The sequence below is a fragment of the Homo sapiens genome, chromosome 2 (assembly GCF_000001405.40).
Source record: "Homo sapiens chromosome 2, GRCh38.p14 Primary Assembly".
Lineage (NCBI taxonomy): Eukaryota > Metazoa > Chordata > Mammalia > Primates > Hominidae > Homo > Homo sapiens.
Window position 1 is genome coordinate 162,045,844 of NC_000002.12, and position 13,302 is coordinate 162,059,145.

Consider the following 13,302-nt stretch of genomic DNA (forward strand, 5'->3'; position numbering starts at 1 on the left):
GAGAGTGAGGATGAGGAAAAGAAAACTTTCTCAACAGTGGGAATAGCGTAAGCAAAATGCCAGGCATGGGAAAGGACGTGGATGTTTAGAGACTCTTTAAGGGTCATGTGTAACCTGAATATAGTTTGTGGGGGGCGCTGGTGTCAGACAGAGTGGAAGGTGAGAGGACAACAAATTAGAAAAATAGCTGGGACCTAAATATAAGATGTGGAACTAGATCTATTTTTTTGCATGTGGAAGTGATAGAATCATATCTATCTTTTACAAAGATACTCTGGTGACACAGTGGCTGAAATGAGAGGGAAGAGCGGAGGGCTGATATCAGCCTAGATATGGGGAGTGCAGTGGTCTGGTGTACAGAATGCAGATAGGGACACAAGTTAGAGCACTCATTACCACAAGATTAAATGAGGGTTTAAGCGAGGACTGTCCAGTGGAAATGGAAACTGAGAGATACCTGACATGCAGAGGGAGAATTGTCGCCAACTATGGGGGATGACAGGAGTCAATGATGATTCTGAGGTTTCTAGCATAAGTGACTTGGAGGAGAATTAAGTAACTTTTACCAATACTGGGAACTCACAAAAAAGAATAAGATGCTTTCAGTGTGCTAGGACAGTGGGGGAAAGATAACCAGTTTAGCTTGGGATTTTGAGTTTGAAATCCTCATGTAGGAACCAGCAGGCTACTAGAAATTAAAGTTTAAATCTGGGAGAAGGTTAGCGTTAAGTGTGTGTATACGAGAGTCAAGCCAGAGAGGAGGGCAGTAATGCTGTGGGGTTGCATGAAATTCACCAAAGGAGAGCATGCAAAGTGAAGAGGGAGGCAAATGAAGATGGAGCCCCAAGGAGCACTTACATTTAAAAATATGGGCAGAGGAAGAGGAATCGTCAAAGGAGACTAAAAAGTAGCCAAGGCAGGGAGCATTTCAAGAAGGAGAGAAAGATCCACTTTGCCATATGCTGCAGAAAGAGTCCAACAGGTTGAGAAATGACAGTACTCGTGATTCCAAAGGTAATGAAAAAAATCCCCAGAATTCTATGCATGAATTAATTACGTGATTAAACATACAAATGTACTGTTCTCCAAGAAAACTGAGCTGTTTCCATATTCAGCATTGAATACCAAGATATTATTTTCTTGTTTGTAGAGATATTCATGATCTAAAGAGAGAAAACACCCAGATCAAAATTTCAAGTTGTTATTAAACATCTTCATAAGCTGAAAATTACAGAATACAGTTTAAGCTCACAAATACCAAATAGGCATTTCTAAGTTGAGAAAACATGAATGATATTATACTAACATTCATTCATTTTTTCATCATTATTGTCAAGGTTTCAATTCACATTTAATTTTTTATTATACATGTCAAAGAAATACTTGGGTTCCTTTCAGTCTTTCTCCCTTTGCACTTCAAGTAGAAAAAGAAAAAAAAAACTCTCTATAGAATTTTTAAAAACAAGGATTACCTCTTCTCAGTGCCATAAAAGCCCACATCTCGACTTAACTAGAATGAATGTAAGCATAAAATCTGCCCTACCCCAAAAAATTCTTACCTGAAATCCATCTTAAGGAGTATAACTTCAGTCTATAAGTATTTTTTAAGTAATCAGTTAGAGTGTAAGTTTTGCGACTGTCAGCTGTAGCATCATCTGCTGGTTGAAAGAAAGAGCCAAATGTTCATTTCAGTAAGATGGAATAACCTAAGTTTTGGATAAAATAAACAAATGGATCTCTACAATATACCCTGCTCAAAAAATTCAGAAATATACTCACAAAATGCAAGACACATTTTAAAAGACTTCAGACTGAATGGATGGAGTAAACATGCATTTAACTATGAAGTGTGTGAGAGTGTGTGTGTTTCACTCTGCTGTATTATGCTATATTAGTGGGCTTTACTTTGAAGGTCTAGATCAGCTATGTCCTATAGAAATAGAATGTGAGTATATTTTCTAGAAGCTATATAAGAAACAAAATTTTAAGGTAAAAATAATTTTAGTAGCACATTTTATTTAGCCCAATACATCCAAAATATCATTTTGCCATGTAACCAATATTTAAATTTTATGAGAACTTTCATGTTCTTTTTTTCATTCTAACTCTCAAATCTGATATGTAGTTTATACTTACAGCATATCTCAATTTGACTAGGTACATTTTAAGTCAATAGTTATGTGTGGCCAGGTGTTCAACGACTACTGTAGTGGATGGCCTGGAGCTAGATCATCCTTTTCAGAGGCTTTGGGGCCCAGTTTCAGGCCCTCCTGCTTCTCAGAGACCCTTAGGACATGCTGATCACCCAATTCAGGGAGCTTCATTAATATCATCACTTTTCTTTGAAATTAACAGAATTTGTGTGTTTCTATATTCTACCACTGGTGACCCAAATTCAAAGTCTGAAAATCATTTTTGATACTTCTGTCTGTTTTTCCACCATGCCCATCTAATTGACCCTCTTGATTATTCCTGGAAATTTTTTTTCTGGGTATCCCTGACATTAGATTCTCCCAATTCTCTCCCTCCTCTGCACCACCACTAGAATAATTTTTCTAAACCACTACTTTCATTCTGGTGATCCCTTCGCCAAAAGTTTTCAATATTTCCCCATTGCCTACAGGAACAAGATTAACACTCCTTAGCCTGAAACTCACAGCCCTCCACGACCGACACAAGACTGTCTTATGTCACTCTCTCCTTGCAGGGACCCTCTCATTCACTCTTATGACCAGCCCACTGAACCCAGAAGATCTTGGGCTTTTCCACCTCTGCTCCTTTTTCTAAACCACTTCTCTGCAGTGTCTTCCCTGCTTTCCTGGTTGTCATAATCACTACCCTCAAATTCCCATCTCTTTCATGAAGACTAGTTCTGCCCCCTCTGACTTTTGCCCCAACACTACTCATTTCGCTCTTGTCATTTAATGACAAAATAGTTGACAACTCTTTTGCTCTGCCTACCCATGTGGTGTCCTCAGTTAGGCCATGTAGTCTTTGAAGACAAGGCTTTGCTGTTTGTTCGTTTTAATTTTTACGTCAACCTTTAGCACCTAACACAGTTCAATTCCACAGTAGGCACACACTCAAAGAGTTTTTATTGGTTAATGTAGGATATCATCCTAGAAGCATAATCAAGCCAACGTGATTCCTCTTCTCCAATCCCAGAGTATGTCCACTGATAAAAGAGCTTAAAGTATTTTTTCTCAAATCCTCTACTTTTTCCACATACACACAAACATACACTCACAAAATCAGCCACCGTTATAAAATTCCTATAACTGCAGTTCTTACAATTTGGGGGACTGGGAAGCCAGTAGCCCTGTCCCTTGTTAATTTTCTTGCAGGAAATGCCTTCCTTGTAATTTTCTTACAGAAAATGCTCTTTCAAACAATGTTCTTAAGATTTTATTTCTTCAAATGTGGTACACATACACCACGGAATACTATGCAGCCATGAAAAGGAACAAGATCATGTCCTTTGCAGGGACATGAATGAAGCTGGAAGCCATTATCCTCAGCAAAGTAATGCAGGAACAGAAAACCAAATGCCACATATTCTCACTTATAAGTAGGAGGTGAACAATGAGAACACATGGACATATGGCGAGGAACAACCAACACTGAGGCCTGTTGGGGGTGGGGTTGGGGGTGGGCAGAGAGAGAGCATCAGGAAGAATAGCTAACAGACTCTGGGCTTAATACCAAGGCGATGGGTTGATCTGTGTTGCAAACCACCATGGCACATGTTTACCTATATAACAAACCTGTACATCCTGCACATGTACCCTGGAACTTAAAATAAAAGTTGAAAGAAAAAAAACAGATAAGAAGACTTCTGAGGTGGGCCATTCCCTCAGTTAAAAATGATAAAGCTTTCTGCTTTCATCATTATAAGTAAAGATAATAAAGAAAATACAGGTTCAAGTTGTAGGTTAATAAAAGATTTTATTTCTTCAGATCTTATCTGATAATAGCCTTGTACCTGCCTAAAACAACTTTGTTTCAAGAAATAAAAATGCCACATTTCACTTTATTACTTTATTGATTTTATTTAAACCTTGTTCATTTAATAAGTTAAAGAGAGCTTTAAAAAAACTAAAGTATTTTTTTTTGGTCAATTTACTCCTGCATTTCATCCCTAAAAGTTAGTAGGAGATTTGTGTTTGCTAGTAGAAATATAGCAAGCGGGTAAAATCAGTCCTTGAATTTGCCAACCTTCAAACAAGGAGTAAAGCCTTATGCTACAGAAAATATTTGAAACTCATATTGAGAATAGTAACTGGATTTGTTCACAAAATGCTCTCAATTGCTTGTATTCATCCAACCACTCTTTCATGCATCAAATAGTTAAAAAGTGAGTACTATTTGAAAAATACTATTAAGGAGTTATACTCTGTTATCAAGAGGTATTAGTTTAAAAAGTACTTAAAACACACCCTAAATTAGTGTAATTTGAAATATAGATGGTTATTTGAAATAGATGTAATTTGAAATATAGATGGTTATTGACATCCACAATCCTCACATCTGTGAGCCGCTGCACCAGGCCTAGTCCACAGTTTTTGAAAACCCATCATCTCTACCACATTCAGGCTCCCTTCTGCTCATGATGGCTCCCTGTGAATTGGATCCATAAGCTCATTTCCCAGATATCAACTCTGATGCCACACTTGCTAGAGCCCAGGACATCCCTGCAAGGCCCAGGCTTACCCTGGTCTGTGTGAGGTTCACTCGGCTGCGTTAGAATAACCCTGCAACCCAGTTTCCACATATTAGCTGCCAGTCCAAGAGAAGAGCGGCTAAATTGGAGCAAGCAGAGCAACACAAATGTTCCTTGTTTTTAGCCTTGCCATTTGATAAGCAGGGCACATTGGAAGACGGTTTTGAAACATCTAGATAAGCGAGTTCTGTGAGACAAGAGTGCCAACTCCAGGTTTTGACCTTTAGCAAGTTCATAGTTGGCTGCCAAGTTACAACCTATTTTGTCAAACTCTTATGAGACATGCTCATGATTCGTCTTCCTTGTCTACTTGCTCACTGACAGGGCACTGCTGCGGCAGCAGATGAAGGTCTTTGGCTGCTTGCATGGTTTTCTTAGTTCGGCCTGGGACATGTTCATTTGACTTATCAGTTCAAAGCATTGTGCAGCCAAGTAAAGCACTTAATCATATGTTACCCATCAGCTTATACAGAAACTTGAGTTTCAAATCTTTAATTTAAAAATAAAAATATAGATTTATAATTTTATACTTTTCTTCTTTAGCTAAAGCAACTATTAGCTTGAACCGCATGAAAATACCATTTTTATTAGTTAAAAAAGGTAGAATAGTGGCATTTAAAATGGCTCAATCTAATAATAAATTCTTATCAAAGTGTTAAGGTATCTTAATGAATCCTTGCTGTAGTGTCAAAATCATTTCTGAAAAACAATAATTCCAGAATGATAAAATCCAAATAAGAGAGTAGTATAGTTCCACGGGATATCCTTGCTTTGATCAATTGCTTCTGTATGATTACAAGATATTTTGAATATTGTCACTCATTCATACTAAACTTTTTTGTCTGTACTAAATTGACATATAATGTTTCCACTCCACAAAAATAAACTGTTTTGGTAAATAAATGGCTAATGAAATACATCTCAAAAGAAATGTGCTCGTTACGGCACATAACTGTGGAAAGTTGTTAAAAACAGGCAAAAGAGTTATCTGGTTATAAAGTTCCTGTGTTCCATATGGTAATCAGCTAACATTCCATATTGATGCTTGTATCTATGATGGGTATAAAGAAATAAAACGAGTGTTACTCCAAAATTTGCTTTAGCAAATTAACAGCCTTGACACAGGGGTGGTGGAGGAAAAATCAAGGAGGTAAAAGAAGAAACTGACTGAATGTCCCTTCATCCTGTGGCTATATTCTCCAGCAGCACATGCAGGCTGCCACCCATCTCCATAGATTCAACAAACACCACTCAAGGGATTGAGCAGCTGGTTGCTTTGAATCAGAGAGCCTGGATTTGAAACCAGGTCCATTTCTTGCCTTGGGGCCTTGGGAAAATTACTGAATCTTTGCTATGATTTGAAAGATGGTGTCCCATCCAAAACTCATGTTGAACCTTAATATACATTGTGGTAGTGTTAAGAGGTGGGGCCTTTTTGGGAAGTGGTTAGTGCTTCATAAAAGGGCTGGAGGGAGGCCAGGTGCAGCAGCTCACACCCGTAATCCTAGCACTTGGGAGGTCGAGGTGGGCAGATAACCTGAGGTTGGGAGTTCGAGACCAGACTGACCAACATGGAGAAACCCTGTCTCTGCTAACAATAGAAAATTAGCCGGGCGTGGTGGCACATGTCTGCAATCCCAGCTACTCAGGAGGCTGAGGCAGGAAAATTGCTTGAACCCAGGAGGCAGAGGTTTTGGTGAGCTGCGATCACACCATTGCACTCCAGCCTGGGCAACAAGAGCGAAACTCCATCTCAAAAAAAAAAAAAAAAAAAAAAAAGTGGAGGACAGGGGCGCTGGAGGGAACTCGCTGCTGCCTTTGTGACCCTCTACCTTTCACCATGTGGGGATGCTGCCTGGAGAGACAATGCCTTCGATGGGGTGGGGCCTCACCAGACACTGACCTGCCTGCATTTTAATCTGGCACTTCTCAGCCTCCAGAACTGTGAGAAATACATTTCTGTTCTTTAAAGGTTACCCATTCTTAGGTATTTTGTTATAACAAGACAAATGGACCTAGAAAGAAATTGGTACCAGAGAAATGGAGTGTTGCTGTTACAGATACCTAAAAATGTGGAAGTGGCTTGGAACTGGGTAATGGGTGATGCTGGAATAGTTTTGAAGTGCAGGCTAGAAAAAGCCTAGATTACATCCACAGAGTGTTAAACACAATTCTGGCGAGGGCTCAGAAGAAGAAGAGAGCTGTGGATAGAACCTCGGTCTTCTCAGAAATTATCTAAGTGATTGTGATCAGAATGCTGGTAGAAATATGGCAGTAAAGGACCCTTTTGATGAGATCTCAGATAGAAATAAAGATCTCATTGGAACTAGAGAAATGGCCTTTCATACCAGAAAGTGGCACTCGGCTGAATTGTGTCTGTGCCCTTCTGGAAGGCAGAATTAGAGGATAAACAAGGATATCCGGCAGAAGAAAAAAATGTATTCAGGTTGCTGAATGGTTTCTCCTGACATCCTATAGGAAAATGTGAGAAGAGAAAAACAAATTATAGACAGAGTTCATAATCATAAGGGAAGATTTGGAAAAGTCTCAGCCTGGCCTGATCCTCCCCAGGTTGTAAAGACTAAAAGGCAAGTTCAGAGAGAAAACCCAGGGTGTGGCCAAGCAATGTTTAAGTTTAATAAGGAGATTAGTATGGAGAATAGGAAGCCAGATGCTATTCATCAAGACAATGGAACAACAACCCTGAAGGCATTTTGGAGATTATTGCTGCTGTCCCTCCCATCACAGGCCCAGAGTGCCACGGCCTAGGCCAGGGGTGTCCAATGTTTTGGTTTCCCTGGGCCACGTGAGAAGAATTGTCTTGGGCCACACATAAAATACACCAACGATAGCTGAATAACTTTAAAAAAAAAAAACAAAAATAACTCATAATGTTTTAAGAAAGTTTACAAATTTGTGTTGGGCTGCATTCAAAGCCGTCCAGCCACATGCCGTCCGTAGGCCACAGGTTGGACAAGCTTGGCCTAGGGGAAAGGACTATGTCAAAAAAGGAGCCTTGGGCACCCATGGGACCTCATCATTGACTCCCCTGCACCTCCTTGTCTCTGCTGTCAGCATTCTGGTGCAGCACTCTTCAGCTGCCACATATATGACTCAAGCAGGCTCAGCTGCCACTCTAGCATGTATAAGCTATAAACCTTGGCAGCACTCATGTGGTGCTAATTCTGCAGAAGCATAGAGTGCACAAGCATGGGGACATGGCTACCTCCACCTAGATTTCAAAAGATTCCTCAGAAAGGCTAGCGGCCCATGAAGAGAACTGCCACAGAAGCTACTGCAGAGTCCCAGCTAGGGCAATGCTTAATGGAACTGCGGGGCAAGGCTACCCTTGAGGCCCCACAACTGTAGAGTCACCAGCATGCAATGTCAGCCGGGAGAGTCACAGGCACAAGACTTCAACCCATGAGAGCTGCACCATGGGCCGTGCCCAGCAAAGCCTTACTGGGGGGGTGGGGGTGGTCCTCTGAGGCCTTGGGAACCCAACCCCCACCCTAGCATGTCTGAAACATGGGACATGGAGTCAAAGATTATTTTTAAACCTCAAGATGTAATGTTGTTTACCCTGTTGGGCTTTAGATTTATTTGGCACTTATTAACCGTTTCTTGCTATTTCTCCCATTTGGAATGGAAATATCTATCCTAGGCCTACCCCACCATTGTATTTTGGAAGCACACAACTTATTTGATTTCACAGAGTCACAGCTGGAGAGCAATTTGCCTCAGGGTGAAACTTACCTTGGGTTTCACCTAATTTAGGTAAAAACTAATTTAGATGAGACTCTGGCCTCTAGCCTTCTGAGTTGATGCTAGAAAAAGTTAAGATTTGGGGGGCTATTAGGATGGAATGAATGCATTTTGCGTACGAAAAGCACATGAAGTTTGGGATTCAAGGGTGAATGCTATGGTCTGAGTGTCCCCCAAAATTAATGTCTTGAAACTAAATCTTTGTTGTGATATTAAGAGGTGGAACCATTTGAAGTGATTAAGTCATGAGGGCTCCCCACTCATGAATGGTTAGGTGCCTTATAAAAGGGCTGGAGGGAACTAGTCTAAGCCTTTTTGTCTTTCTACTCTTCTGCCGTGTGAGAATGCAGCAAGAAGGCCCTCACCAGACCCTAAATGCCAATGCCTTGATATTAAACCTCCCATCTCCAGAATTGTGAGAAAATAAGTTTCTGTTGCTTATAAATTACCTAGTCTGTGGTATTTTGTTACAGCAGCACAAACTAACACACCTTTTAAAGTTTCATTTTAAAAATCTATAACATGAGACTAATAGCCCATGGGGATTTTCAATGATTAAACAAGATAATGTATGTCATATGCTTAGCTCAGGACTTAGAACTTAAGAAGCACCTGTAGATATGTTACACTGCACATTATTGTTTTGTTCCAAGCATATGTTAGGCAACCAGAATACAAAAAAGAATATAAAAGAGTCTTTCCTCTGAAGCACCTAACGGTGAGATTAAGAATTTAACTGCAATAAAATAACAGCCAGTTAAGTTTCACTACGTTCATAATGAAAAATGATCCTAATAAAAAAGCATGAAACAATTACATTGAGAAAAATATTTAGGATAAGTGCAATCTAATCATTTCCTAAGTGCCAGTGAATATCACTTTCTCCCTTCTATTAATACATGCCTAACACCATCCATAGCCTCCATATTGGAAGTCAGCAGTTTTCAGTATGAAGGGAAAATATTGGACCTAATGGAATTAGAGAATGTCTGAAGACTGATGTTTCTCTGATTACTATACATAAGGGACATTAGCATATAATCACAATAGCAGATTTACCTTGTCAACAATAGAACACTGTGGTACAGCTGGGTGCAGTGACTCATGCCTGTAATCCTAGCACTTTGGGAGGCCGAGATGGGTGGATTGCTTGAGCTCAGGAGTTCGAGACCAGCCTGGGCAACATGGTGAAACCCCATCTCTACTAAAATACAAAAAAAAGTCATCCTGGCATGGTGTACCTGTAAACCCAGCTACGCAGGAAGCTGAGTCATGAGAGGTTGCAGTGAGCCGAGACTGTGCCACTGCACTCCAGCCTGGGCAACAAAGTGAAACTCTGTCTCAAAAAAAAAAAAAAAGAACACTGTGGTACATCCAGGGGCATATGATAAATGCATTGCCATCTAGCTGGAGGCTGTAGAATGTTGGGACTGCCAGGTGACCAAACTTTGGTTAGGGACATAATCATTTTCCAATGTGTCCACCTGAAATAGTATAATGCACATTTCCTAGAATAGCAACACTTCGAAAAAAATAAAACATCTTAATGGGGTTTAGTTCCCCCTCCTCCTATGCCTCCTTCTCCTCCTCTTTTGCCTTTCCACTCCATCCACACTGGCCACCCAGTGGCCAGACACACCAGGCTCATGCCTGCCTCAGAGACTTTGCACTTGCTATATGCTCTTCCTGGAATGTTCTTCCCCCAGATATGGCCAGTGCTTCCTTCCTCACCTCCTTCAGGTGTTTATTTAAATGCTGCATTCCTTCCCTGGACTAGCACTGCAGCCTTCTTCCCCATGGAATTCTCTACTACTCTTTCCAGCATTACTCATTTTTCCCTTAGCAATGATACCATCTAACTGATTATACATTTTACTTTTTTATATTGTTCACTGTGTGCCTCCCTTAATTGGATGTAAGCTCCGTGAGGGCACTGATTTTATTTTGTTTCATTCTGTTTACTATTATATTACTACAGCCTAGAACAGTGCCTGGTATACAGTAGACACTCAATAAATAGTTGTTGAATGAAAACATAAAAGTCAGACAATCTGAAAATAAGCACCAACAGCTCCAAGTACAATATGTGAACTCCAAGTGGCTGTAGTGTAGGAAGAGGAGTGAGCTTAGCCAGATAGGACTAGACAGAGTGAGCACAGGAGCCTCTGAAACGGCCTTTGCAAAAATTATGACAGTGAGAGAAATCTAAACTAACTGACTCCATCTTGCCTCTAACCTCACAAACTAATTACCTTTGCTCATTACTGGGTGCAGGCCAAGCAAACTATGGAAGGAATTTAGTTTATAGTTTAACTTTGCAGCAAGGATGGTAATAGTCCCTCCCAAAACTGACCCACTCTGAGGACTGAGATTGCCTTTCTAAGACGAAGAAAAAGCCACACAGTGAGGACTATAGGAGGGGCCTGAATTCTGCCAAGATGTAGGCTAGTAGTTAAATGATAACCAGCCATTATTCCAGAGGTCAGAAGATTTGTAACTTCTCCAATTGTTCTTATAGATAACATCACTATTGTCAAGTTGTCAAGACCTAAGACTGGTCTTTGAGATATTTTTCAGACTTTTGCATTCAGTTGGACCTGCTGACTCCACCTGGACCTGTGACTCATACCAAGGAACTAAATCAACCAGTCCTGTGACCGTCACCCATAAAATGACTCAGTGCATAAAGACCATTTTGGACAGTCCTATGATTTCATCCCCAACCAATCAACAGCACCCATTCCCTAGGTCCCTGCCTGCCAAATCATCCTTAAAAACCCTAACCTCCAAGCTTTGAGGGAGTCAATTTGAGAACTGTCTCCTGTCCTTTCACTTGGCTGTTCCTGTGACTATGAAATTCTCTATTGCAATATCACTGTCACAGTGAATTGGTTTTATCTGTGCAGTGGGCAAGAAGAACCTGTCAGACTATTACAACTCAGGTTCTAGACCACCACTAGCTACTGTTAGGTCAGCACACTTCCGTAAGCCTGAGCCAGTCACCTACTGGCTTTCACCTCCAAATATACATACCCTTCCTTGCTCAGTAATTCTGGGGAAGGGCTCTACAGCTATATTTCCAAGAAGCCTCATCTGCAGGATTCTTGCTAGGTTCTGTTAATAGGAGAAAATAGAGAAAAAATTGGATGGCAATTAGAGAAGAGGAGGGACTCCTCCTTTCCTCCTTCTTGCTGACAGCATGCACCCAGCAGTAGCACCTGCTCCAGCCTCTAGCTTCCTTTGTAATATCCAGAACCTGCTTCATCATGCCTCACGGAGGTACCAGTAGCAGCTAGGGGGATTATAAACCTTAGAGCTTTGATCTGAGATCTTCTGTGTTCCTCCTTCCTGCAGTTACACTTTCTCAGTTACCTCAGAGTTTCTCTTTTGCTCTTTTATCTGTGTAACCAATTTTCATATTAAATCTCTCTGCTGAAATATCTAGTGTGATTTCTTTTTTTTGAGACAGAGTCTTACTCTGTCACCCAGGCTGGAGTGCAGTGGCACAATCTTGGCTCACTGCAACCACTGCCTTCCAGGTTCAAGCGATTTTTCTGTCTCATCCTCCCAAGTAACTGCAACTACAGGCATGTGCCACCACACCCAGCTAATTTTTGTATTTTTAGTAGGGACGGGGTTTCACCATGTTGGCCAGGCTGGTCTTGAACTCCTGGCCTCAGATGATCTGCCTGTCCCGGCCTCCCAAAGTGCTGGGATTACAGGCCTGAGCCACCATGCCTGGCCTCTAGTATGATTTCCCTAACTGGAGCCACCACGCCTGGCCTCTAGTGTGATTTCCCTAACTGATATAAGAACTGATTCATCTTACCTATTGTGATGAAATTAAATAATTAGAACTTAAATCTGTTGGAACTTTAGGTTATTTTGAGCCTTGAGAGGTATGTGGCCTGAGTCACATACCATGCAGCTGTAACTTCTGCTTTTTCCTGTAAATGACCAGAAAAGACCCTGTGGTGCCCGAGGTAGGAACCCCTCAGATCATCACCCCTGCTCATGGAATGTTAAAGAAATCTTAGTTGGAATATAGCAATCTGTAACCAACAAAATCACTGTAATATACATACTGACCTTGTATGGAAAATGTTGCAACCCTGTTAACTGCCTATATGAGTGAAACTTTCAATTCCTCACTTGGTAATGCTAACCCCATTTGTCTGGAGTATGTTTTCCAAGAGGTCATCCTCAAGCTTTGCACTTGAATAAACTCTATATTTAATCGTTTTTCTGAATCTCGTTATTCAAGTTAGACATTATAACGAAAGTATTTTTAAGTGGTAAGAATACAACATCTAGACCTGGAGTTGGCAAACATTTTCTTAAATAGCTGGTTGGTCAATAGTTTAGGCTTTGTGGGCCTTATGGTCTTTAGTTTCTGTTATAACTACTCAAGTCTGCCATTGTAACTTGCAGGCAGCTACAGCCAATCTGTGAGTGAATGGGCACAGCTGTGTTCCCATAAAACTTTCCTTTTAAAACATCAGGTGGCCAGTCCTGACTACAGTTTGACAATCTCATCTGGACATTCCTCAAAATTGTGAGCACCATTAAAGCAAAAACAAAAACTGCTCACAAGACTGGACTTGAAAGACAAATGTTGAGACTGAAACTCCAATTACCCTGAAACAATATCAGCATACGACTCCAATATATGTAGCAGAAAAGTAAAAGTGGGCAGAATATGTATGTCTCAGTATTCAAGTATCAGATATCTATTTTCATCTTAACCCAAATATGAACATGTTGGTAAAGAAATGCAAGGCTGGAAGGACTGACCGAACTAAGCCGAGTTACACTGC

General features: G+C 40.7%; 1 protein-coding gene across 8 annotated transcripts in view; it reads right to left on the minus strand.

Moving 5' to 3' along the window:
• The window catches only part of DPP4 (dipeptidyl peptidase 4), an 81,971-nt gene that overhangs the window by 53,599 nt on the left and 15,070 nt on the right, over positions 1-13,302 (minus strand). For 4 of the 8 annotated variants that reach the window (NR_166825.1, NR_166824.1, NM_001379606.1 and 1 more), the window contains exons 3-4: positions 1,560-1,658; positions 1,072-1,163 (exon numbers count right to left, since the gene is read on the minus strand). Coding sequence is in view for 4 of the 8 variants with exons in the window: in NM_001379606.1 (NP_001366535.1) it covers positions 1,072-1,163; positions 1,560-1,658 (191 nt within the window). In the remaining 4 variants the exon portion in view is untranslated. Of the gene's footprint in view, positions 1-858; positions 963-1,071; positions 1,164-1,559; positions 1,659-13,302 lie in introns of all 8 variants that reach the window. The other 4 variants (NR_166822.1, NM_001379605.1, NM_001379604.1 and 1 more) reach the window with 2 other exon arrangements.